Below are 27,968 nucleotides of genomic sequence, written 5' to 3' on the forward strand. Positions count from 1 at the left end.
GCTTGTTATGGGCTAAGTTGTGGACTCACAAATTCTTATGTTGAAGCCCTAACTCCCAGTAACCTCAGAATATTATTGTATTTGGAAATACAGCCTTTAAAGAAGTGATTAAATTAAAATGAGGCTGTTAGAGGGAGTCCTAATTCAATCTGACTGGTAGTCTTATAAGAAGAGATATCTGGATGCACAAGGGTGCACAAACACAGAAGGCGGCCATGTGAGGACACAGCAAGCAGGCGGCCGTCTGCAAGCCACGGAGAGGGGCCTCAGGAGAAACCACACCTACTGACACCTTGAACTTAGACTTCCAGCCTCCAGAACTGTGAGAAAACAAATTTCTGCTGTTTAAGCTACCCTGTCTGTGGTATTTTGCTACGGCAGACTTAGCAAGCTAATACAACACTGAACAGATTTAACTGTTTACATGGATCAATCATCCTGCCTAGGTTTCTCCTTGCTCTAAAGAAAAGACTTTCATCTTAATGCTGGTAGCTAATTTTCCCAAGGTCACACAGTTACTTAGTGTCAGAAGAGGTACTCCAACAGGGCTCATGGGAAGAAACACGTACCTCAGACATCTGTACTTTTTTCTTCTTAAAAAATGCAGATGATACAAAACACCAAAACACTTGGCATAGACATCCAAACGGCATACATCAAAGACCATACCCAGGGTATGGCCATAATGCTTGAAGAACCCATTTTACATCAGGATTATGACATTGAAGAACTAAAAAATACATGTTTAAAATATGCCCTGTTTGAGTCCAGAACTATGTCAGCATCTGTTGACCAGAGTAAGTATTAGCAGTTCTTGTTTCACCCTAGAAAGCCCACACGTTTCCTCCCGAGAGAGCTCTCCATTGCTACTTACTCTTCTCTGAGAGGTTTTCTTTCCCAAAGGGGCCTTCTGAAGTTTGTAAACATGGAGAGACATTCCCACATAAACATGCCTATTGTTAAGAGTAAAAGCACACATCAGTCTCAGCCACAGCACTGGAACATGTCTCCGTCTCGGCTCCTGGTCACACTCAAGGCCTGAACAGGCCATCCTCCACCCCTGTCCCACCTGGGCTTCCCACCAAGCACAAGACGCAGCTCAAGGGGAGAACGAGCTGCGGATCTGCAATAGTTCATCATTCCGAGGCCCCTCGGCACAGAGGCATTAAGATGAGCTCCTGGGAGAGAACCGAATGGAGGAATCCTGTAGCAAACCTTGATTGTCAGACCTGAATCAAGGAAAGGGCTCTCGCTCACTGGTTTCCAAATGACAATCCCTGAATGAGTCTGGGCCGTCTGCATCTGAATCATCTCAAAAGGTTTTGCAAAAAATATAGATTCCAAAACGCCATCCTAGGACATTCCATATCATGAGTCTCCGGCTTTAGATTCTGTATTTTTAAATGATCCCCAGGTGATTGTCTAATTTGAGAAACACACACACATATTATAGTTGAAAGAAAACAACTGAGAAGTAGCCAGTGCCAACAAATCACAGTTCATATCAAGTCAGTATCAGAAACATCAGAAACCTGGAGGTACCGCCCATCTATTTCTACATTAGTTTTCTATTATTACATGACAGAACACCCCCAAACTTAGGGATTTATAAAAATAAACACTTCCTATCTTTTAGTTTCTGTAAGTTGAGAAACGAGGAGCAGCAGAGCTGCATATCTCCTGCACAGGCTCTCTCATGAAGCTGCGGCAACATCACTCGTGGCTGGAGCTGCAGCCATTTGAAGGCTTGATTGGGGCTGAAAATCTGTTTCCAAGTCATTGACCAGAGGCCTCAGTTCTTCACTGACTGCTGGAAGAAGGCCTTGGTTCTTTAACACATGGGCATCTATATAAGACATCTTAAGTGTGCTCATGATAGCAGCTAATTTCCCCTACAGGAAGTGATCCAAGAGAGAGCAAGGAGGAAACCACAGTGCCTTTAATGACTAGTCTATAAAGTTGCACACTATCACTTCCACTTTTGTCCATGCATTAGAAGCAAGTCACTAGGCCCAACCCACCTTCAAGAGAAAAATGGGCTCTTTGAAGTGAGTATTAAATAATCTGTGGACTTTTTTTTTTTTTTTTTTGAGATGGAGTCTCGCTCTGTCACCCAGGCTGGAGTGCAGTGGCGCGATCTCGGCTCACTGCAAACTCCGCCTCCCGGGTTCACACCATTCTCCTGCCTCGGCCTCCCGAGTGGCTGGGACTACAGGCGCCCACCGCCACACCCAGCTACTTTTTTGTATTTTTAATAGAGATGGGGTTTCACCGTGCCAGCCAGGATGGTCTCAATTTCCTGACCTCGTGATCTGCCCACCTCGGCCTCCCAAAGTGCTGGGATTACAGGTGTGAGCCACCACGCCTGGCCTTGTGGACATATTTTAAACCAGCATACTTTCCAATGTTTCTGTCATGCCAAGAATGAAGTAGAAATTAGAGATACAAAAATACATACATGATTTTGACTCTGCCCTCATGGAATCTTGGAGCAGGGATAGAAGAGAGAACCCAAGTATCCACTGTATTATATGCCTTTTTTGAAGTCAAACTAGTGAATGCCCATTTAGGTTAGGAGCAGAGGCACATAGTGTACTGAGTTACAAGTCAAAAAAGCCTGGGTTTGAGACCCTACTTTCCCACTTTTAGCTATGTACACCACTTAGCCACTAAGTTACGACCTTTTTCTTTTACAAAATGAAAATTACTTATGACTTCATGATGGTGAGGGGGTGGATTGGGAGGCAAGGATTTTGTGAGGGCTAAAGAAGATAAAGTACATGACTGCTGGAAAAAATAGCTGAGTGCTATAAATATTAACAATTACAATTACTAGCATGCTTATAAGCAAAAATATATACATATCAGAAGGTGAAGAGGTCAATACAAACAGGTCACCTTAATTCCTTTTGCATGTACCCACTCTGGATTTACGTACCTTCCTTCTAGGAGCAAAACAGCCTTCTGTTTCTCTCTGGGGCACTCTTCTTCCTGCTCCAAACTATGTTTTCTTTCTGCTAAACCTGTCCTACCTGTGGTGTTCCTGGCAATTAGAACTGGATGGGCCCTGTAAAATGTACTTAAACAAGTGCCCAAATGTTACTTCATCAAGCAACTCATCTTGAAGACTTAATTGCTCCCTAAATGTTTAAATGTCCATTTACATTGAAGGTGACAGTAAGAAGAAATAGCACATAAATATAGAAGTTTCTGGAAATATTTTGTATTTGCAGGTATGTCTACATATACATATATGTGTCTGTGTGTGTGTATATTATTTACCTAAGTCTAGATCTAGATATATGTAAAAACAAACTAGCAAGACAGAATTCTACTGTCATCAGAATGGGAGCTTTCCCAGAGCTCCAGAGGAAGGAATTTGATTCAGAGTATAGCCGCTAAAGAAAATGTCAATCTATATGTCAATCTATACAGAAAACAACCTTCTAACCACCTAGGAGCATAAAAGTATTTGAGAAAGTTCATTCTCAATTCTTTTTCAAATCCCTTTCTCATCTTTTCCCAGTATGTTCAGACTTTTTAAAGAGATTCAAAAAATTCCGTTTTAGGGAAACTCACTGTGGAGAAGCATGTAACATGAAACCACCCCACAGCCACTGCAGGTAAAAAATAAAAAGCATCCCTATGCAGAGATAAGAAAAGAGATTGGAAAACAATATTTAAAATTCCTCCAACCATTGGTGGGTAGAAGACATACTTCAATAAAAATGTTTCAAAAAGAGATATCTTTAGCCAATAAGCCAAAAATCTAAAGATCATTATAAGTCTAATGTCCCCTGCAGATATAAAAGATGATCATGAGAGGGAACACAAAAATTCGAGGCGTTCAAGTTTCAGAAAGCCACCTGCAGTGTTCCCCTTTCTGCAGAAAAGGGCAAATAACTGAAATTAGAAACATACATATTACACATTTTCAAAGTCAACCAAAAGGACCAGTATTTTGTTCAAAATGAAAAAGAAAATCAAAGCTCCTTTATTGAATTCAACCACCGTAACTTTGTGCTTGGGAGTATGACAAAGACTTTTTTCTCTTTTTTCTTTTTTTTTTTTTTTTTTTTTTTTTGCTTTTCCTAGAACCTCCCTCTGAAGCTAAGTCGTGGTATCCAGAGAGCGTTATTGGGAGAGTTCCCAATTTAGTTTCCAGCGCAATCCCTCTAAGCCTAGAAAACTCAGAGACTGTTCGCAAGAGCATCACTTGTTAGAAACAGATGAGTGAGGCGCTATGGTAGAAAGTTTCTCGTGGTGGGAGGTGACCAGCTGAATCTCCCCAGATGACTTAATGAGAAAAAAACTGCTAAAACATGGTATTCATATGGGCCTCTTAAGCTCCCTTGATCAGTAGAACAGTCAGATAAATCAGAGGCTTTGGATAGGCAACTGCTGAACAGATGAAGACCAGGAAGATGAGGTTTTAGTTGGTTAAGACAACTTCTTGGAAACTTTTCCCGCCTGAAGATTGTTACACACAAATACTTCCCTGCAATCATTGGGAGCTTCCAAGTTGTTCCTTTTAATTAACACCAAAGCTTATAGACAAGAGGCAGGTTGTGGAAAATATTTTATAGAAAGCAAAATCAGCATACCATTTGTATAGTGGACAGAACATGGGTTTTAGATTTAAAGACCTAGGAGTGAATTCACATGTTCTGTCACATAGTAGTTGACTGACTTAGATAACCAATCCTTCCAGGCACCAGTTACCTCTATCTCTTAAAAAAGGAGGAGAGGGCAACACATTATTTTGAAAACAAAATAATTATCTACATGAAAAGCACTTTGGATGAAGTAAGGGAACCACACAGTCAATGAGACCAGCCTGCAAACTTAAACAGTGCCAGGCTAGCTGGCAAAACAGAACACATGCATGCTAAAACAATATAAGGCAGGTGTAGCAGCCAGCCTGCCAGGTGGCCCCTAACAACCCCACCTTCGGGTATTCACACCCTTAAGTAGTCACCTCTCACCTTGTATCAAAGGTAGCAGTCAGTGTAACAAATAAGCGTGATGGTTTTTACATCCAAGATTGGGTTATAAAAGGCATTGCAGCTTCAATCTTAGTCTTTTGTCTGTCTGTCTTTCTCTCATCACTCACTTTAGAAAAGCCATCTGACATGATGTTGAGTAGCGCTATGGGGAGGACAAAGTGAAGAAGAAGTGAGATCTCCTGCCAAGAGCCTCACAGGCGAGCTTGGAAGTGGATACTCCAGCCCAGTCAAGTGTTCCAAAGGCTGCGGCTCTGGCCGATAGCTTGAACACAACCTTATGAGCAACTCTGAGCCAGAGCCACCTGCTAAGCCACTCCCAGATTCCTGACCCTCGGAAACTATGGGAGATAATATGTATTTGTTGTTTTACAGTGTGGAGTAATCTGTTACACAGCAATAGGTAACTAATAATACATTAGGCTTCGCTAGGAGTTGCTAGGGTTTGGAAGAGCAAGAAATCCCTAAAGGTTAGGGGTTCTTTGTCAAAGGAACATGTTTTGAAGGAAGGATGAGTTTGTAAGAAGTGGTAGAGTGTAATATGCTGTAGACATGAGTAGAAGTGAACCAGGCAGAGGGGTGAGAGGGTTTCAGAAAAGCTCCGTGGGCAGTGGGTCAAGAGCCAGGGATGGCAGGCCAGAGTGTCTACGCTTTATACAGGCAATGGAGCACAAGCAGGGTGCTTGAGCAAGGAGATGACTGGGAAGTAGCTAGGAGGGCGCCACTCGGGGGGCATATAAAAGATGAAATAGCTGTTGTAAAACCAGAGGCAGAGAGGTCAACCAGGAGCCTTCTGTAACGACCCTGTGGGGGAAATAAAGAGCTGAACTGGGGCACAGCTGAAGTAGGAATGGATTGAAGAGATGAATGGGAAGTACGGCAGGAACATGGTCTACCACGTTGAACACTGGCCTCCCACGGCTGCCCGTCAGAGCCAGAGGTTTCTAACCACTCACTTGGTCATTGAATATGTGTGCATATTTAGTTCTGTGCCTGAGGACAAAGCTACCACAGGACACATTTTTCAGTCAAAGCACCACCATTCATGCATATAACATGCTGTTCTGGTATACAATGCATTGCACCACAAAATTAATGCCATAAATATTGTAGACGTTATAGACACAAAATTATAGTAACTATGTAAGCTTCGTTTCCTCTTAAATCAACTCGGCCACAAGAACTGACTCCAAATTACACTATCTTTAATAAAATGAAGCCAACTAATAATAATGATAATAAAAGAGAACACATGGAAGTAATACAGAGAAAATTCAAAAAATAATCCTTTATAACACTGACAGGTCTGAGGAGGAAAGGCCTGAAGAACAATATTAGTATTATCAATCTCATCAAGTCATCCTATGTAACAAAAGAAAAATCATCAATGGAGATTCAAGGAACATTCAGATCCAGGGATTTTTTGGTTCTTTGGGAAGTGGACACGGTCCAATTACTCCAAGGTTGTCACATCCACTGTGCATGTTAAGTGCAGTTAGGGCCATTCTTGTGGAAATTATGGCAGGAAAACTGACAAAAGGACCCTAGCCTTTGGCAGACTGTGTCTTTGACTAACAGAAGTCTTAAGAGACTGGAGGTAAAGAAGTTATCATGCCCTTGGGGTGAAAAGAGCACATGTGGCCTTTCCTTCCCAGATACACAAGGTTAGTGCCCAGCTAGCTTAGAATGCATGGGAGGTCTTTTAGCCTACACTCATTTTGTAGTTAGGAAAATTGAGGCTGAGAAAGTTAAAGCTACTAGCTCAGGTCACAGAGCCTGAAGATTACATGAGGGCTAGCATCCAGATTTACTAAGGGAATAACATGATTCAACCCTGGACAGGGAGAGGCTCAATCACCCACATTGGGAGCTTGCTAAAGGATCCTCTGTCACTAAGTTAGTCCTGTCAGTGGAACTACAAAAGACAAGTGCTGAAAGAAAGCTCCTTTCTGTCTTTGACATGTCAGAGTGGAATGCTCATCAGCTTTCTTATGAGGAACAAGTGCTAAGAACCCAGCTTGAGTAAGCTATGCTTCTCTGCTTGCTATGATCAGACAAGGAGACTGTCATCACAGCGTAGAGGCCAGTCCTGCTAACATCATACTGTGCTGGGACCACAGAGATGCTCAGCAAGCGTCCTTTTAGATTAAAAAGCAATAGAGGTAGGGACATTTGCTCATGAAAGTTGGACATGATAAATTCACAGAAATATAAACATATCTCTACTTGGGAAACAGTGACGTCTGTATACAGTATGTACATATAAATAGCAAGACAGCTGGGTCAGGGAAGAGAGAGTCCCTCTCCGCCCTAAAAATTGTAACAGAAAACCTATATTCACTTTCTGGCTTTACCACTTAGCCATGTAACCTGCAGGTTATTTCACTTCCTGGAGGCCTGTTTACCCAAATTATAAAATAGAAATAAATATCCTCTTCTTTGCCAACCTGTCAAAAAGACTGCAAGAGAGAAGTACCTACACAGCCCCCAGCCCAGCCTCATAAGCAGCCATGGCAACCCTCCATGCACGATCAGACAAGGAGCCTCTTGAAACGTATGCTCCGTTTGTATATGAGTCCCACACTACCAGACTTGGGCCAGAGCACCTGTCCTCCCAGCCCCGGAACTCCCACTCCTCCTCTCCTACCATGCTTACTTCATCTGCCGATTATGAAATGTGCTATTTCTGTCCAGGTTTTGATTTCTGCTCAACTTTTTTCTTTCTAGTTCTGCCTCTCTTAGCTAGAAACCTATCCTGATCCACCTGAATCCCCGGGTGCCGCAGCCTCGCCAGCCCACGGGGCATCTAATGCAGCCAGGCACTCTCACTTACGTTGTCCTTCCCTCTGTGATGATGAAGCCTGGACACATAATGTCCCATTAACATTCAAGCTTATTTTTATTTTACTTCCATACTTTTTGGAGGCAAGGAGTGTAGACAGCTTTGGCTGCCCTGAATGTTAGTTGGTGCTCATGTGAATTAAATGTCCCTATCTTCATCACCCTGTCATGAGATGGATGCTCCCACTCATGTGGTTGTTTCAGAGGCAGAAGTATCTCTTCCCAAAACCTCTGCCAATCTCTAGTTGCCTCTCCCCACTGCTGTGCTCTTTAGCTTCCCCTGTCCCTTCCTTTCACCAACTTATAAGTAAATGAGCAGATGCAAAAGCTTAAAACGTAATCCAAAGACCACCCATCCACTTCTGTGTACAAGCACATGTCTCCTGATATCTCTCCCCTCTGGCAGATGGGGCCAGCACAAGCTCTTGAAGGAGATTAGATGGAGCCCTGGGACACCTCTCAAACAGAGCTCCCCAATTCTGATGGGCTGGAGGCTCCAGGGCGAGAGGAAATGCTTCAACACCCTTTCCCATCAACCTGACCCCTTCTTCACATTAACTCTTAGGGCCTGATTCCAGCCTGTTCCTTCACAAGGACACCATTCACATACAACCGTATTTTGCCTGAAAAAGAGAAACCTGAATAAGCCAAGAGCCCCCCTTTGATGTGTAGGAGAAAGTCTGTTTCCAAGCCTCCCATCTCTCGGCCAGGCGGTTGGCAGCCTCTTTCTCTTTTTTCCTCCCAAGGAAGGCCAACATGATTAAAGCTCTGCCCCTTTCGTTCCCACTTGGAACTTTTACAACTGGTGATTAACAGCCACTTAAACAAGAGTGATTCTCTACTCACTATAGATTTGGCTGCTAAGTACATTTGATTCAAAAGTAAAAGAAACATGTATTCATTGTCTCACTTCCTTGGGAAACTCGGAAGTTGCAGACTAAATGATGAAGAAACCTACAGAAAAGTAACAGAAGGATTATAGGGTGACTGGCACATGTTCCTCAAATGACATAAATTACTGAGTAAGGTTTTCTTTCCCTTTATAATTAAGAGCCAGGGTAAAAGTAAACTCCGACCGCTTTCATCAGTTACATGTCACAGGAAGGACAATGTACCATTCCTAAGTCAGGCAACTGCCTTTCGCATCCCCAAAGGTTCTCATTTCACTGTAGAGCCAAGGGTGAGCTTTGTGGTAGAGAACGTTTTGCAGCTATGAATCACAATTCCCATGAAGAAGTGTTTCCTCTCCACTCCCTGACTTGCTGAGCATCCTCATCTATGCTCCTATGCTCCAATTTTAAATTCCCATCACAAGACCGAAGAGTCACAAAGGTGAGCAAATCCTCCAGCTCTGCTCCTTAGCCCATAATTCTCGCCTCAGCTCTGAATGTTCCACACCCTAACGGGTTGATAATCTCTGCCTTCACCACAGTGCTCAGAAGGGCCTTAAGGAAAGGGCAACAGAGACTGAAATGTCAAATATCACTCTGATCTACTTCATTTCCCTCCACCAGAGGCTCAGAAAGAGTGGTACACAGGAGTCCACATTATTTTATGCTCTAAAATAATGCCAGAGGCCAGGGGCCAGTGGCTGGGGGCCAGGCGCGGTGGCTCATGCCTATAGTCCCTGCACTTTGGGAGACTGAGGTAGGGGGATTGCTTGAGGCCAGGAGTTCGAGATCAGCCTGGGCAATACAGTGAGACCCTGTCTCTACAAAAAATAAAAAATAACTTAACTGGGCATTAGTGGCACACACCTGTAGTCCCAGCTGCTTGGGAGGCTGAGGTGGGAGAATCACTTGAGCCCCTGGAGGTTAAGGATGCAGTGAACCATGATCATGCCACTGTACTCCAGCCTGAGACCCTGTCTCAAAACTATATATATGAAATAAAATAAAATAAAATTAATGCCTTTAGCCAAGTCACTGAAACATTCTGATTAAATGTCCAATCTTCTGTCTGGTTTAGACTCTAATCACAGTCATTATCTGATCTTTTAGTTAAATGTTATAAAACTTACATAGTGTATCTTATTAATCCATATAAGCCTTTCTTCCATGCACATCTGAGATACATAAAATAACAGTAATAAAAACAAGAGTAATAACATTAAAAACAGTATTTAGAGAGTGCTTACTATAGGCCAGGCTTGGAGCAGTTCATATATATTATTTCAATGAATCTTCATAACAAAGTTTTGGTATTTTGTTTTATTTTGTTTTTATATATAATTACCTGCTCTACCATTCTTCCTTGCTCCCCTGCCCCAATGCCACAAACCACACCCTTGGCTCAATGTGTTCACATGTACATAAACAAATCCACCCCACAGGGTCACTAACAACACAGTTCCAACTCCTAACCCACTCATAGCATCACCTCTTATGGAACTTGGAGATTTGGGATCTCAGAAAAATCTCTTTCTGAAACATACCAAAAATTCCCTGAACAAGAAATCCATGCTGTTTCATTTAGAATCAGAGAAACAGCCATCATTTGACCAAGCCATATTCCAAACGTGCACTACTGAGAAGCACACTCCCTAGAATAAACAAAGCCAAGGACCACCTTTATCATTCTTGCTCCTCATACCATAAACCTGGAGTCTGTGGTTTTCTTGGGGCTTCTCATTTTCACTTTTCTCTTATACCTGTTTCAAGATGTGAGGTGTAAGCACAAACAATGGCAGCTGCACGCATGGGCACCTTCATCCCTGCAAACATCTTGATTAAATGCCAATTAATTTAAAATCTCCCAAGTGGTCTGATTTGAGGGTTCCCTGGACTCCTTTATCTACAGGCAGCAATTAGAGCCCAGTTGGGGGAAGACTCATCACCATAGGGAAGCAGAGGCTCTGGAATACCTTGGAAAGAGTCATCCCTGAGACTTCATGGTCTCCAGGTCAAGGGAGCTGTAAGGAATCTAAGCCTTCATTAATCCCCCAGACACTCACACGATTATTTGTCAAACAAGATTCAGATGATTGGGTCTCAGAGACCCAACATTACTTTGCTGATTAAATGTTGAAAATGAATTCATAAACATGTAAAGGCATAGTTTCTCCATTTAATTATCTAGAGATTAAGAAACACTAAATCTGTCACACCCAATCATTTGGGACATGCTTGACAAATATCACCTTATTCCCTCCCTAAAAACAACCAGAGACAGTGGAAAGAGAATGGGCTCTTCAGCAGGTTGAAACGGGGTCCTTACTTGAGCTGTGCCACGAACTAGCAGTTAGGGGTCTTGGAAATGGTGTCTCTCAAAAGGCGAATTTTCCTCATTGTAAAATATGATCAACTCACATGAAACATGAGGATTAAATGAGATGGCCGGTGACACACAGTAGATGCTTTAACTTCCTTTGTTCTACAGTCACAACAATGAAACACCCTTCACCATAATGCTCCAAAATCAAAGTTCTTGCAGGACAAACAACAATTCCCAATTCAACACAGCAGCAGATCAGTTGTCCAGACACTACAAACTCAGTAACTCCTCGGCCTACCTGACAACTTACTTTATTAACTGGCTAAAACATCCTAAAACTGTCTGCATAACACTCTTCCCTGGGGAACTAGAGACAAAAATGATTATTTGGACATGATCTGAAAAACAAACAGTTGCATCCATTTTACATGGGGTAAAAATATCCTAGATGAGAAGGACAGGTTAAAAATCAATATAAATATGAAGGACCATCAAAAAAACATTCAAACAGAATTCAATTTGGGCTTAACTTTGATGAACTGTACATGCTCAAAAATAAAATGAAACCAACCAAAATACATTTATGTCTACAGCTGTAACATTAACATTGGTGGCAGCTTGTTTACATTTTCGGCCAAGAAGTGTTCTTCCATCTGGTCACATACCCGGCATTACACACATATTTTAAAGTTATTTAAATATTTCATGTGTGAAAACAGAGAGGTTACTTCATGTAGGCAAATCTGGAAGAAGTCAAGTGCTAAATATGCTGCAAAGATCCTGCTTAACCCACGGAAACTGACATTTTTCTTTCAGCCTGCCAGTTAAATGCCTACTCTGCTTTTTAATTCATTCACCCACTTCTACAAACATTTGCACTGACATTTTGCCAAAAAGCTATCCCACAAATCTCTAATGGGGAGGGAAGAAAGGAGTACAACAAATATAACATAAATTTTAAACTCTGGGGACATCTTCAAAAAACTCTGGCCCAGGTAAGGCTCCAAATCAAGCCAGATAAAATAAAAGACATCAGTACTTTTAAACTGTACTACTATAGATGCATGCCACAAGAAGCCACCCATTCATATGGGAGATAATCTGACTATTGCATGACCCATTTCCTATTCCCAACAAAGATAAATTGGGATTGTATAATAGACCCACTATTTCGCAGACTAACAGTATACTACTGGTCATATTTCTAACGTGAATAAAACCTTGTGAAATGAAGTAAACCAACCCGTCAGAGTTTTATACACCAGCATCCAGAATCTACGTGTTATACACATGTATCTCTACTTTTCAAAGTATATACACAAGGTAGGCAAATGATTAAGTACTAATTTCTAAATCTTCCTAGAACAAATAAGACCCCAGACCTGGTCATGTACAGCCAGCAGCAGAAAAACCCATCCAGCAAAACCAGGCATGGCTAAGCTTCCACTATGGAAAGTGCTCGCTTCCCCTTGGGGTTCTGATGGACCGAAGAGAAGAAAAGAAAACAAATGAATTCAGAGGGCCCCTGGGAACTTGACAGCGTAACCCTGGAATTCCCCAAGTTCTGGACCCACCACAGGAACTTTTTATTTCTTGGGCTCATCTGTCTATTCTAATTGTGCTTAACATATCACAGATTCAGTTTTGTTATGAGATTCTCAATGGGGCAGCCCCCTGCTCAGTCCTGAAATGGCTGGCATTCCACTATGAGGACAAACCACGATCCTCTGGCCACTGGAGTGACAAGCTGGCTTCCCACCACTCCGTGCTCCCATGCTCACACTTGCCTCCCAGCCTGTTACTCGAACCTTCCGAATTCTGTACTGTGAGACTCTTCCTCCAAAGCTCTCATGGCTAATTCGTTAACCATCTTCAAGTGCAAGTTTTTCACGTCTCTTTTTTTGGGGGGGGGGCGGGGGGTGGGGGTGGAGTCTCGCTCTGTTGCCCAGGCTGGCGTGCAGTGGCGCGATCTCGGCTCACTGCAACCTCCGCCTCCCGGGTTCAAGCGATTCTCCTGCCTCAGCTTCCTGAGTAGCTGGGATTACAGGCATGTGCCACCACGCCCAGCTAATTTTTGTATTTTTAGTAGAGACAGGGTTTCACCATGTTGGTCAGGCTGGTCTTGAACTCCTGACTTCGTGATCTACCTGCCTCGGCCTCCCAGAGTGCTGGAATTACTGGCGTGAGACACCACACTCGGCTGTCACCGTCTTACTTTATTTAATATTTCAACCACTTTATATCCCTTTTTACTTTGCTCTACTTCAACCTTTTTTCATGACACTTATTCTATTAAATAAAAAAAACTATATTTATTTATGTCTATTGCTTATTATTCTGTTTGCCCTGGCAGAATAGTATAAAGACAGCAAAAGTCCTTTTCTATATTATATATTGCTCACTCATATGTCCCAAGGACCTAGAACAACTCCTGGCACAGAAGAGCCTCATAAATGTTTGCTGAGTGAATAAACTGTCAGAGACAGAAACATGTCATATAAAAATTTTCTTTTTTTTTTTTTTTCGAGACAGTCTCACTCTGTCACCCAGGCCGGAGTGCAGTGGTGCGATCTTGGCTCACGGCAACCTTTGCCTGCTGGATTCAAGCAATTCTCCTGCCTCAGCTTCCTGAGTAGCTGGGACTACTGGCGCGTGCCACCACACCAGGCTAATTTTTTGCATTTTCAGTAGAGAGGGGGTTTCACCATGTTGGCCAGGCTGGTCTTGAACTCCTGACCTTATGATCCACCCGCCTCGGCCTCCCAAAGTGCCAGGATTACAGGCATGAGCCACCGCGCCCGGCCCATAGAACAATTTTCTGGGGTTCCACTAAGAAAAGACTAAGCTGGGACTTCTGATCTCCCAGGAGACAGACTCTACACTGAAGGAAAGAACCTGGGTGATAGCTCCTAGTAGAATCTAGACAGCAAGCTCCAGCAGAGTAACAGAGATGTGGACAGACTGTATACCTCTCAAGGCAGGCCACTGCACGGTCTCTGCAACTTGAGGTTCGAGGCTCTCAACTCTAGTACCCACCCACCATATCTCTCCTTCATTCCGTCATTCATCGCATGTGTGGTGAGCCGGGCAGCATGGTTAGACTTGCTTGTACTTCTCCACATTCCACAGAAAAGAGGTGCCTGCTATCAAGTCCCTGCCTGCACAGGCCAGGCCCCACCCAGATACACATACACGTCTGAAAACCTTTGGCCTCAGGCTCAGCCCTGCACGCTGCCGAATCAGCCCTGAGCAAACCTGTCAGTGGACTGGGAGCCCCGTCCCGTCTCCCTGCGGCCTAGATCCCCTGTGATGCCTCAAATCCACTGCGCACCATAATCCGAAGGGCAGTACAAATGACAAAGTACAGCACACTGTAACAGACACCCACGCCACAGGCCACCCCCAACTCTGAGCTACTGAACTCCACAGTCATTTAAGACCTTTGTAACTTCCTCCCACGTTTACACTCATTTTTAAATATGTCTTCTATCCTGTGACTCACAGTGTGTGGCGGGAAGAGTAAGGTTAAGAGCACAGACTCTGCAGTTAAACCAAGCTTGCTCTGCTACTTATTGTTAGCTGTGTTACCTATCTATGCCTTCTTCTTTACTGGCAATATGGCAATAGTAATTGCACCTATGAAGTAATTATGAAGACGAATGAATTTAAAAGGTAAAGCTCATGGAACAATGAACATAGAACACACTCAAGATATGGCTCCTATAAACAAAATGAGGTATAGCCACACCATAGAATAGAATTAAGCTATAAAAAGAAATGAAGTATTGTTACACGGATAACCTTAAAAACATTATGCTAAGTCAAAAAAGCCAGACACAAAAGGCCACCTATTATGCAATTCCATTTATATGAAATGTCCAGAATAGGCAAATCCATAGATTCAGAAAGGAGATTTGTGTCTGCCAAGGGCTGTTGGGGAGTGGGGAGTAGAAGGTGACTGCTAATGAGTATGGGGTTTCTTCTGGGGGCAATAAAAATATTCCAAAATTAGAGAGTGATCAATGTGAATTTTGTACATATAGTAAAACCACTAAATTGTACACTTTTTTTTTGTCTGTTTTTTTTTTTTTTTTTTTTGGAGATGGAGTCTCACTCTGTTGCCCAGGCTGGAGTGCAGTGCCACGATCTTGGCTCACTGAAACCTCCGTCTCCCGGATTCAAGCGATTCTCCTGCCTCAGCCTCCAGAGTAGATGGGATTAAGGGCATGCACCGCCATATCCCGCTAATTTTTGTATTTTTTTTTTAGTAAAGACAGGGTTTTGCCATGTTTGCCAGGCTGGTCTTGAACTCCTGACCTCAAGTGATCCCCCTGACTCGGCCTCCCAAAGTGCTGGGATCACAGGCGTAAGCCAGCATGCCTGGCCGATTTTTAAAAGGTTATTATTATTTATCTTCCTCTTCTTTGAGCTACTCCAAGACAGTGCCCAAGTCTTACTGCTGTATCCTCTAAAGTATCCAACACAAAGCAAGACATGCTGTCAAATAAACTAAGTAACCATGACAAATGTGGAGCCAAAATTTTCTAGGAAACATCAACAAAGACTAGAACAACTGGGCAGCTTCGAGGAATGATTGGCAAACTTGGGCAAAGTTTTATCCCCCAGGCATCTGGAGTCGTGCCAGTGTACACTGACTCACTGTGGCTGAGGGTCAAGGGCAGGTTCTGCCAACAGGGGAAATGATCAGAAAGCAGAACTGAGACAGACCAGTTCAGGGAGAGAAAATATGGGGCGAGATGCCTCCTTCATCCTTTCACCAGGATTCACACTCAGAGACACCACTCAGCATGCACAGCACCCATTTCCAAAATGCAGACCTATTTGTATGGTCACTCTTCAATCGATGTAATTGCTACAAAAGCTAATAAACTGGAAAGACAGGTTGTGAGGCGAAAGAAAGCCATAGGAAGCAAATAGCCCTTATTTCAAAGCAGCAGGTTTTTGTTTGCTTTGTTTTTTGCTTGAACTGACAGTCAGTAAAGTATTCTTAAATATATTCTAGCACTCAGCTGAACCACCTTGCAACCTGCTTCATATACAGGTTCTAGAGGTCATTTTGTAGCAGGACATTTTAAACGGGGGAAAAACAGAAGGAGAAATAAGCAATTGCCTCAAACAAGGAAAACAGTCTCTTTACTTCATAGTGAAAAGAAAAAACAGACTAAGTTTCTTGCATCCTTTTGAATCCAAAAGCAATAAATACAGGAAATGTTAAATAATGAGAGCAAAATAAAAACCAATGTCCATTTGTTAGTATGGCTAACATAATTGAGAGGTGGATGACTGCCAGAAGCAGGTGAAGGTCAGTTGACTGGCAAATCCTCCAATTTTGCCCTAGAACTTTCAGAATGAGCTCCCCACCACTGACCCCCACTTCCAGTCACTTTAACCAAGATGCCCATCATCCTCTGTCTGTAGCATTCTCACTGCATTTCCAAATTACTCCAGGTTTTCCTGTTCCTACTTTTATGACCATCTGAAATCCAGATTCTTAAAAGTGCTTTTTAAAATATCCCATCATCTTTCATTTCTGTTAGCTACTTTTCTTTCTCCTTATCACTGCCCTAAATCCAGTTTTCAGTTATCTCTCTCTGTCTCTCTCTCTCTCTCTCTCTCTCTCTGAGACCATTTTCATTGCTTTTTACCTGGTTTATATTCAGTATATTGACTTTCTGATCCATCTTCCATATAGTCCCAGCATTATAAATGGACAAATGAATGAATGAGGCCTAGACTCCTTAACCTGGTCTTTGAGACCAACCACACCCACCAACCACATCACCCCTCGAAGGTCTTCTCCCACTTCTGGACACTCACTCCACATCTCCACACCAACCAACCGCCATTCCATCCCGTGTTGACCCTGTCAGAATTTAACACTCCTTTCTTTAGGAGGCACTTCCGTGACAAATGGTTTTTCACACTAAGGTAGCATTTAATAGAAGGTAACTTTTATCACTGGACACCTATGCAGTTTCAGCTCACCACAGATTTAACCATGTCTTATCTATAATGCCTTACTGTGCCCCTAAGTACCTAAGTAACAAAATAGGGGTTGCAACAGCAGCAGTGGTGTTCCCACCTGAGTGTCACTCAATGCATGCACGCTGAATATGCAAATGAATCAATGACCCAAACAGAAAAATAGCTGAAAATATTTATTTTGCACTACGCTAAATGTTCCACATACATTTCTGGTGTTTTTGGTGTTTTGTTTTTTTTTTTATTCTCAAAAGACTTACAAGTACAGGCGCACCTTGTTTGATGGTGCATTGCTTTACTGTGCTTCTCAGATAGTTGTGTTTTTTACAAATTGAAGGTCTGTGGCAATCCTGCATCGAGCAAGTGAGCACCACTTTTCCAACTGCAGGGTTCACATGCGTCTCTGTGTCACATTATGGTAATTCTCTTAATCTTTCAAACGTTTTCATTGTTATTATATGTTATGGTGATCTGTGATCTTTGATGTTACTATTGTAATTGTCTTGGGGCACCATGAATCACACTCATAGTGTGTTCTGACTGCTCCACAACCAGCTGTTACCCCAGCTCTCTCCCTCCCCATGGGCTTCCCTATTCCTTGGGACATAACAACTTTGAAGTTAGGCCAGTGCATAATCCTACAGTGGCCTCTAAGTGTTCAAGTGAATGGAAGAGACACATGTCCTTCACCCTAAGTCGAAAGACAGAAATGGTTAAGCTTAGTGAGGAGAGCATGTCAAAAGCTGAGATGGGCTGAAAGGCAGGCCCCTTGTGCCTAACAGTTCGCCTAGCTGTGGATGCAAAGGAAAAGTTCTTGAAGGAAATTAAAAGTGCTACCCCAGTGAACACATGAATGATAGGAAAGTTAAACAGCATTGTTGTTAATATGGGGAAAGATTTGGTGGTCTAGATAGAATACCAAAAGCCAATGTCCAATCCAGAGCATGGCCCTAACTCTCTTCAATTCTCTGAGAGCTGAGAGAGGTGATGAAGCTGCAGAAGAAAAGTTTGAAGCTAGCAGAAACTGGCTCATGAGATTTAAGGAAATAAGTCATCTCTATAACATAGAAGTGCAAAGTGAAGTCACCAGTGCTGCCGTGGAAGCTGCAGCAAGTTATCCAGAGGCTCCAGCTAAAATAACCGATGAAGGTAGCTACAGTAAACAGCGTTTCAATGGAGATGAAACAGTCTTGCATTCAGAGAAGATGTCAATGCAACTTCCATAGTTTGAGAGAAATTAATGCCTGGCTTCAAAACTTTAAAGGGCAGGCTGACTCTCTTGTTAGAAGCTAATGCAGCTGGTGACTTTAAATGGAAGCCAATGTCCATCTACCATTCCGAAAATCCTAAGGTCTTTAAGAATTACACTAAATCTACTCTGCCTGTGCTCTATAAATGGAATAGCAAAGGCTAGATAACAACACATCTGTTTACAGCGTGGTGAATTACTGAATATTTTAAGCCCACAGTTGAGACCCACTGCTCAGAAAAAAAGATTCTTTTCAAAATATTTCTGCTCACTGACAATGCACTTGGTCACTCAAGCACTCTGATGGAGATGTACAATAAAACTAATGTTGTTTTCAGTCTGCTGATACAATATCTATTCTGCAACTCATGTACCAATGAGTAATTGTGAAGTAAAATTGAAGGCTCAGATGATTATCAGCATTTTTTAGCAATAATTCTTTTTTTTTCCAAGATGGAGTCTTGCTCTGTTGCCCAGAGCTGGAGTGCAATGGTGCAGTCTTGACTCACTGCAAGCTCTGTCTCCCAGGTTCAAGCAATTCTCCTGCCTCAGCCTCCCGAGCAGCTGGGATTACAGGCACCTACCACCGCGCCTGGCTAATTTTTGTATTTTTAGTAGAGACGGGGTTTCACCACGTTGGCAAGGCTGGTCTCTAACTCCTGGCCTCGTGATCTGCCTGCCTCGGGCTCCCAAAGTGCTGTGATTACAGGTGTGAGCCACTGTGCCCAGCCAATAAGGTATTTTTAAATTAAGATATGTATATTTTTAGACAAAATGTTATTGTACACTTAATACAGTATAGGGTAATGGGAAACAAAAAATTTGTGCGATTCACTTTATTGCAATATTCACTTTCTAGTGGTGGTGTAGAACTGAACCCACAATATCTTTGAGGTATACCTCTATGCAGTATCATCTCCATTTTACAAATAAGGAAACTGAAGTTCCAGTTTCTAAAACACAGAGTCAAAACACAGAAGTGCCAGGATTCAGTACTAGGTCTGTATACTCTAGAACCCATTCTCTTGATGACTAACCTCCTCTCCACTTTCTCTCTCCTCCTTTTCTACCTCCTCCATTTACAGGATAGAAAATGAAGCTTCAAAGAAGTTATAAAGCAAGACAGTCTGGGCATGGTGGCTCATGCCTGTAATCCCAGCACTTTGGGAGGCCAAGGCAGGAGGATCACCTGAGGTCAGGAGTTCAAGACCAGCCTGGCCAACATGGCGAAAGCCCATCTCTATTAAAAATATAAAAATTAGCCGAGAGGTAATTCCAGCTATTCGGGGGCTGAGGCAGGAGAATCACTTGAACCTATGAGGCAAAGGTTGCAGTGAGCCGAGATCGTACCACTGCACTCCAGCCTAGGTAACGAAGCAAGATTCTGTCTCAAAAAGTAAATAAAAACTTAATAAGAAAATAATAATAATAAAGCAAGACAAAGGCAGAATCAGAGACCTACATGTTGTCATGTTTCCAATGTTCAGAATAAAATCACTCAGGAGGAGACTCTGATTGCATTCAGAGGGGACACTCTGGTCTTATTAGAGGTCTGGTTTGAGGCAGTAACTTACAGTCGCTTGCACACAGACTCTAACACTAAACCTGGAGACTCCACACTTAGGTTTAAAATCCAGCTGCAATTCTTTTAACTTTGCAACCTTGAGCAGATCACTTCACTACTCTAAATCTCAGTTTTCCCATGAGTTAAATGAGAATCACAATGCCTATCCTACCTGATTGCTATAAGGAGAAATAAGGAAACGGGAAATTAGGCAATAAGCACCAGGAAGAAAAGACCCAGTTAATCTTTCTCATGGCTCTACCTCAGCACCTGGCATTGCCCTTGCGTGTTTTCTGAAATCTGAATCACAGGGTTTTGTTTTTGTTTTTTGTTTTTTTTCTCTTAAGACAGTCTTGCTCTGTCACCCAGGCTGGAGTGCAGTGGTGCAATCTCAGCTCACTGCAACCTCTGCCTCCCAGGCTCAAGCGATCCCCCTACCTCAGCCTCCGAAGTAGCTGGACTACAGGTGCACTCCACCAAGCCCAGCTAATTTTTTTATTTTTTGTAGAGGTGGGGTTTCACCATGTTGCCAAGGCTGTTCTTGAACTTGTAGACTCAAGCAATCTGCACATTTGGGCCTCCGAAAGTGTTGGGATTACAGGTGTGAGCCACTGTGCCTGGCCAAATCACAGCATTTTTGGTTTTTCTCTTATCTACTAATTATCTTCTGTCTGTTTGAGATCTAAGCATAGTAACTGATTTAAAAAGAAAAATAATAACAATGATGAGGACATTATTATCACCCTAAAACATAAGCAAAGGAAAAAATGATCACATACTACAGCCAGCAAACAAGAAAAAAGTACTTGCACTTCATTACAGCTGCTATGACTGCATGCTTTTCACAATAAAAGAGACTTAAAGGTAGAAAAAAGAAAGGCAAGCAGAAATATGAATAAATAGATTAAGAAACCCAGCTGATATTCTAACTGCCTAATCAAAAACAACAGGCCCTGCAAAATAATTGAAAGATCTGCTCAGAGAGAAGCAATTGAAGGCTCAAATTGAACAGTCTCGGCAATTTGTGGGAGAAGAGATATTCTGAAATGGCATAATGTAAGAACAAAGAACAAAGCATTTTTATCTGGCTCCCAAACAATTAAATGAACCTGCCAATTCCATGTGGAAGATGGGCTTTAAAGAACTGCAGTCGTGTCAAGGGAACATTCAAAGTCAGCCAGAATTCATTAGATGCCAGAGGAGAAACAGCTACAGATTTCTAAACAGGCATCTCCAACCCAGGCCAGAAGGAGCCGAGCACAGCCTAGAGCTGCTGGAGACTCAAAGAGAAACCATTCTTCTATCCCTTTCAGCGTGCGCATCTTGCCGAACTTCTGGACCCAGTTCCTGCCATAAGCGTGACTACTCCACGTGTACATAATCCCTGTGGAATTACAAAAATTAGGCTAAAGAGAAAAAAAAAAACCTGGTTGTGGGTTAGGAAGGCATATGATCAATCCTGACTCTGCCTTCCATGCAGATAGGGAAGAAGACTCCTCCTTCTGAGACCATCTCATCTGTGACATGGGACAAAGGTGGAAACATGCTGCACGAGGAATTCAGTTCATAAGTCAATGGATCTGGCAAAATCACATATGATAAAAGCGGCCTTAGGTCGGGCGCAGTGGCTCACACCTGTAATCCCAGCACTTTGAGAGGCTGAGGAGGGTGAATCACCTGAGGTTGGGAGTTCGAGACCAGCCTGGCCAACATGGAGAAACCCTATCTCTACTAAAATTACAAAAATTAGCCGGGCATGGTGGTGCATGCCTGTAATCCCAGCTACCGGGGAGGCTGAGGCAGGAAAATCGCTTGAACCCAGGAGATGGAGGTTGCGGTGAGCCAAGATCACACCACTGCACTCCAGCCTGGGCAACAAGAGCAAAACTCTGTCTCAAAAAACAAAACAAAACAAACAAACAAAAAAGTGGCCTTGGAAACCTGTAAATTCACTGAAAAGTTAAGGCCAACATGTTTTAATGCATATATCATAAGAGACACATGGGACCTGAGGCCAAAAAAGAGAAAAGAGAGAACAGACTTATGTCTCCCACCAGCTATCTCCTGCCCCTCAGGACACTGTCTCATGGATGGGGCTCCCAACCCCATGTCACCAGCACCATTTCCACTGTTCTCATTCTCTCAATTTTTTCCAAGTCACACTCCTGGAATTTAAAGGACATAAAATATAACATCATATTATAATTCATATCTGAATCCTAAAGATGTCTGAAGACCAATACATCAAAACAAATGTGAACGGACCATGCAAACGACAAAGTATTTTACAAATAATGTTATTCCTTTGACAAGTTGTGAACTTCTGCAGATCAGGATTCACATTTCCCCCTCAGCATTTCTAGTATTTAATACTGAATGCTTATCATACTTTCTAGGAACTCAATTAAAAAATGGACAGATAGACAGATGGAGCTATGAATCAACCAGCCCTGAATGTGCAGTCTATTGCAGGTTATAAAGGACACAAGGTATGTCCCCAGGCCTGTCAGTTAACTGCTCACAATCTACTTGGAGAGGATATCCTCCCAGGAAGAAGACAGTGTCAAAGACAATATACTTCTATTTACAGGTATACAGGTATTGCAATATAGGCTCTATTTACAGCGTACAAACCATCAGCATAAACCATGAAACAATCTGTGAGCTGGAACCATCCACAAAGGATTCCTGCACACGGTGAGAATTTTATCATACAAAATGGAAAAACCTTGGCTCCAGGAAAGCTCTTAGGAATCAGTTAGTCAACTTCCTGATTTTAAGGTTGAGAAAACTAAGCCTTTGGAAGGGGTTCATGTGTGCTGGGCTCACAGAGCAACTTCCACAGCAAAGCCATGCTGGCCGGCTCCAACAGCGTCACACAAAGCCCACGGACCCAGAGGGATCCTGATCCATCCCTGAGCAGTACTGCACAACACAGAGCAAATCGTGTTTCACCTCAATGAGAAGAGCAGCAAAACAAGCCTGATAAAAATATTCACTCCAAAATAATGTATTAAGTACCATGAGGAAAAATGCTAGACGGCACTAGAAGAGAGTACACACACAGATACATGCATACTCTCTCATCTTCCACTGTCTCTCAATCTCTCCCTCCTGTCAAACCACCCCCACCCCCGACATGGTTGCTGCCCAAAATAGATCTCAGACAGTGCCAGATGAGGAGCGGGGGAAGAAGACAGCACTTTTGCTGTCAGATCCTAACTCAGATTTCACCTTTCCAGTAAGACCTCCCTCTTGGAACATCCTATTTAAAGTTATAACCCCATCCCTGCCCTACCATCTAACATCCTACATGCACACTTTTTCTCTCTCCCCTGAGTAAACTAAGGGCTCTGAGCAATGATCTGTGTGTTTTCTTCAGCACTTTATCCACAGTACCAAGCCCAGAGCCTCAGACATATTAGGTACTCAATAAAATGTCTTTTGAAAAGAATGAATAAACAAATGAATAAAAGCAGAAATCAGAGGAGGCTTTGTGAAGAAGACACCATTTGAAATCACCTTTAAATGGACGGTGTTCAGAAAAAGTAGACATTGACAAGAACTGAGACCACAGTTAAACATCCCATGTGGAGGAAACAATATGGAAAAGTATTTAGACTTTTCGAGCCTGACCAACATGGAGAAAGTGTGGGGGAAGTGTGGGGCTGGAATAGCACCAACGACAGGTTCCTCTGTCTGAAATGTAAGATGCATAAATGAAACTAAAGCAGAAAGGATGCAGAATGAAGCCCAAAATGTGGAAAGTGTATAAACAAGGGTGGAGGGCCACCACTCACTCTCAGGAGACCACCCTGGTGTCCCCAAAATTACAGGCCTTGTTAGAAAGCAATTCACCTGGGGTGGTGTAAAGGATGATTCCTGAAAGCCAATGAATGTAGGACAGGCCTCCAAACTGTGCCCCACATGGCCGAGTAGTTTTCTGAGCCAAAAGCCTACCTCCCTCTTCACTCTTGGCTACGTGCTGACCGACCCAGAAAAGCCAACCAGGGTCTCCCCAGCACAGCAGAGCAGTGATTTTCTACATCCAGTTCAGATTCATGCCACAAACTGCTAGGCAGAAACTGACCCTGATGTAGAAGGCTGTTTTTAAAATGTGGGCATTATTTTATTTTGTTTATTTCTTTATCTATTTATTTATTTATCTATTAATTTTAATGTTGCAAAGACTGATCTGGGAAACAAGTATATTTCAAAAGGAGAAATGTCATTAGCATGCATAAAAAATAAAGGCAGTAGAATATTGATAGTGGCAATTTAAGAAAGCTGGCACAATGCACTTCTCCAATCCACAGAAATTGAGAGAAAATATAGTCCACATTGCAAATTAAATGGAGATAGTGTGGCTTCAGGATGCAAGCAGTTGCTGAATATGCAGAGACAGTCTGCACATGGTGCCAGCCCGCCCTGGGAGCCAGCTCTGCCAGCAGAAGTGGAAGACTTTATCAAGTCTTGAGAAAACGCAAGGACTGGGGCAACTTCCCCTCCTTATGTCCCTGTCTCAGAGGGCAACAATGTCTCCCAGCTAATCCAGACACATCTGAAATAAATCCATAGACACCACAGAGGAACCCAATCAGTATTTTAGTGAGAAAGGTTTTAAATACCAATTCTGTGTATTTACCTTCCTTTATTCCATAAACAAAAGCAGAATGAGAAAATAAATAACATAAGCTGATGATTTCTGAAGTGCTAGAGTAGTTTAAAAGAAAGAGCATTAAACTAGAAACGAAAAGGCTGAACACCATTCCTGGTTTAGGTGGACACACAAGTGGCCTCAGGCAAATCACTGGACTTCTTCGGGCCTTAGCTTACCTTGCTGACTGCATCTTGGCTAAAACTAAATGGGAATTATTCTAACAACCCTTCAAGTTGATGCTATTATTAACCCAATTTTACAAAGTACTTTCTCCAAAGTCACAAACAAGAAGTGGAGCCAGGTATGCAGATCTGACCTCTGGGCTCGGTTCTCAATCCTTCGAGTTACCATCTCCAAGTCCCCTGTGGTTCTGGTTGTGACCATCTCTGCATTCATTCAAATAGGAAGGGGCTGGGACTGCCAGCATCTGCGGGCATCTAATTAGTACCCAAGTGTCACAGGAGACCCTGCTAAATGGTATGAGAGAGCTGCATCCTCCTCAGTTGCCTAGAGTAACAGTACAAAATCCTAAAGCCTTTTCCATAGCTATCCCCAAATTACGTCTGGGTCCTGTTCTGATAAGGTGTTTGGGAATAAAGCAGCAGCACAGTGACCTTTAACATAGACCCATTTCGGGCCAGGTGCGGTGGCTCACGCCTGTAATCCCAGCACTTTGGGAGGCCAAGGCGGGTGAATCACCTGAGGTCGGGAGTTCGAGACCAGCCTGACCAACATGGAGAAACCCTGTCTCTACTAAATACGAAATTAGCCGGGCGTGGTGGCGCATGCCTGTAATCCCAGCTACTCGGGAGGCTAAGGCAGGAGAATCACTTGAACCCGGGAGGTGGAGGTTTGCGGTGAGCCAAGATCACGCCATTGCACTCCAGCCTGGGCAACAAGAGCAAAACTCCATCCCAAAAAACAACAAAAAAACAAAAACATAGACCCATTTCTATCATGAACCATGTCTCTACTCTCCCCCCACCAAAATCCATTATCATGCAAGGTGCAATGACAACATTACAATAAAAGTGTTTCAACAAACTGGGGCAACAGGCCAGGTACAGCAGAGTAAAATACAACCACACAAGAGCCAAGCCTTGGTCTTGTGGCCAAAATGCTCAACAGTACAATGCTCAAGGAACACAGTTTAGCAACATTACATGAAACCAACAGTAAATTCAAATGTTTCAAGAGTGTGCTTTGGCGGCCAAGATTGTGTGACTGAAGCTGCATGAACAGAAGCAGACTCCCTGGAAGGAAATGTATCTGCTTTCATCTGTGCTGCTCTTACCACACCTGTTTCAACCAACACCCTGAAAGTTCTGCCAACGTGGAGGAAGTGAGGTAAGGAAACTATAGACTGGATGATGATTTGAAGGAACTGGGAACATTCAGAAAGGAGGCCAGGAGCACCATCTTAAAACCTTAAAGCTCCCTCTCTCCTCTGAAACATAAGTAGGATTGTATTCCATGTTCATTCGAATTGTAGAATAATAGAGACAGCAGGGAGATAAATTTGGGTTCAATAATAATAATTCTCAGAAAGCTGCTGCCCAAATATACAAATTTGCCTCTAGAAGAAGTAACTTCCTCAGGGTGCTGAAACAGAGGCTGGGCGACCATTTAGAGGAGAGACAGGAGTCAAGATTCCATGATAAGAACAATGTACAGTTGTCAGTTGAATTGTGTCCTGCAAAACAGGTATGTTCAGGTCCTACTCCTCCTGCTCCTTTAACTGTGAGTAACAGAGTCTTTGTAGGGTGCTCACACTGAATTAAGGTGGGCCCTGAATCCAATGACTCATACACTTAAGAGAAAAGGGAAAGTCGGACGCGGACATACACAGATGGGAGATGGCTGCTGCGGTCCATTTGGGCTGCTATAACAAAATATCTTAAACTGGTAATTTATAAACAATGTAAATGTATTGTTCATAGTTCTTGAGGCTGGGAAGTCCAAAGTCAAGGCACTGGCAGATTCCGTGCCTGGGGGAGGCTTGCGCTCTGCCTCAAAAAATGGTGCCCTGTTGCTGCACACTCCCATGGCAGAAAGGAGAAGTGGCTCCTTGAGGCCTCTTTTGTAAGGGCACTAATCCCACTGACAAGGGCAGAGACCTCATGACCTAATCACCTGCTGAAGGTTCCATCTCTTAATACTACAGCACTGGGGATTAGGTTTCAATGTATGAATTTTGAGGGGACACAAACATTCCAAACCATAGCAATCATTATAGAGGCAGAAACTGAAGTGTTGCAGCTACAAGATAAGGAACACCAAGGGTTGCCAAGCAGCCACCAGAGGCTAGGAAGAGGCAAGGAAAAATTCTCCCCTAAAGCCTTCAGAGGGAGCACTGGCCTGCCAGGTCCTTGAGTTCAGACTTCCAGACTCCAGAACTGTGAGGGAACACATCTGTTTTGGGCCACCCAATTTGTGGTGATTTGTTACAGCAGCCCTAGGAAACTAACGCATACACAAACACCCAACTCGGTGACATTCTGTCTATATCTACGGGACTAACGGTTGTTTTCCAAGTGGGAATTGTGATGGGGCACTAACATTAATTCTTGAATCAAAAGGAACGTTAGCACATGGTGTAAGTTTAGTTTTTTTTCTTTTTAACTCATTCATACACTTATTAAATATTTACTGAGTACTTAATATGTGACAAAACTTCTGCAGTGCCCTATGAAGACAAGGACGAAGAAGACATGATTCCTGTCCTCAAAGAGCTCACTGTCTACTACAGTCTGTTTGTGTCCCCCCAAAATTCACATTGAAATCCTAATCCCCAAGGTGATGATTATTGGGAGATGGAGCCTCCAGGAAGAGGCCAGGTCGTAAGAGCAGAGCCCTCATGAATGGGATTTCTGCACTTGAGACTTCAGAGCTCCCTTTCTCCTTCCATCAGGTGAGGACACAGTGAAACAACAGCTGTCTGTGAACCAGGAAAGGGAGCTTCGCCAGACACCAAACCTGCCAGAGCCTTGATCTTAACCTTTCCAGAAGCCAGAACTGTGAGAAATTAATTTCTGTGGTTTATAACCCACCCAGTCTATGATATTTTGTTACAGCAACCTGAATGGACTAAGACACTCCCCACCAAGAAAATGTAAAAACATAATGTGACAGATGTCTTTACATCAGTAGTGGATGCTGTGACAGAGGCATTTACAAACACAGAGGTATGAAAAAGTGAAGAATAATCCTCTGTGGCAGTGGGTATCAGGGAAAGCTTTCTGTAAAGTTTACATTTGTGCTAGATCTTTAAAAAGTAGGTGTGCTCCAGGTGAGCAAGGTAGGGAAGTACTTTCTAGGCATGTCAAAAGGCCTTGGCCTAACTCTTCCAGATACAGATAAATGTGGGGAATAAGGAGGGAAGGACAAGAAATAAACCTCAAGAGCTGTGCTGAAGTACCCCAGTTTGTGTGTGAA

The 27,968-nt window shown here is 42.9% G+C and overlaps 1 protein-coding gene across 1 annotated transcript in view, besides 5 other annotated features; it reads right to left on the reverse strand.

Annotated features, from left to right (window-relative positions):
• The window catches only part of MB21D2 (Mab-21 domain containing 2), a 121,042-nt gene that overhangs the window by 39,542 nt on the left and 53,532 nt on the right, over nucleotides 1-27,968 (reverse strand). The window lies entirely within an intron of this gene.
• Nucleotides 876-925: an enhancer, noted in NCBI's record as "active region_20993". NCBI's record gives its function as "activates an Ori minimal core promoter by ATAC-STARR-seq in GM12878 lymphoblastoid cells {active_cell/tissue: GM12878}" and the evidence as "EXISTENCE:reporter gene assay evidence [ECO:0000049][PMID:35858748]".
• Nucleotides 1,686-1,755: an enhancer, noted in NCBI's record as "active region_20994". NCBI's record gives its function as "activates an Ori minimal core promoter by ATAC-STARR-seq in GM12878 lymphoblastoid cells {active_cell/tissue: GM12878}" and the evidence as "EXISTENCE:reporter gene assay evidence [ECO:0000049][PMID:35858748]".
• Nucleotides 4,175-4,224: an enhancer, noted in NCBI's record as "active region_20995". NCBI's record gives its function as "activates an Ori minimal core promoter by ATAC-STARR-seq in GM12878 lymphoblastoid cells {active_cell/tissue: GM12878}" and the evidence as "EXISTENCE:reporter gene assay evidence [ECO:0000049][PMID:35858748]".
• Nucleotides 14,677-14,726: an enhancer, noted in NCBI's record as "active region_20996". NCBI's record gives its function as "activates an Ori minimal core promoter by ATAC-STARR-seq in GM12878 lymphoblastoid cells {active_cell/tissue: GM12878}" and the evidence as "EXISTENCE:reporter gene assay evidence [ECO:0000049][PMID:35858748]".
• Nucleotides 14,757-14,806: an enhancer, noted in NCBI's record as "active region_20997". NCBI's record gives its function as "activates an Ori minimal core promoter by ATAC-STARR-seq in GM12878 lymphoblastoid cells {active_cell/tissue: GM12878}" and the evidence as "EXISTENCE:reporter gene assay evidence [ECO:0000049][PMID:35858748]".

Source organism: Homo sapiens, chromosome 3 (assembly GCF_000001405.40).
Source record: "Homo sapiens chromosome 3, GRCh38.p14 Primary Assembly".
In the NCBI taxonomy this organism is placed as follows: domain Eukaryota; kingdom Metazoa; phylum Chordata; class Mammalia; order Primates; family Hominidae; genus Homo; species Homo sapiens.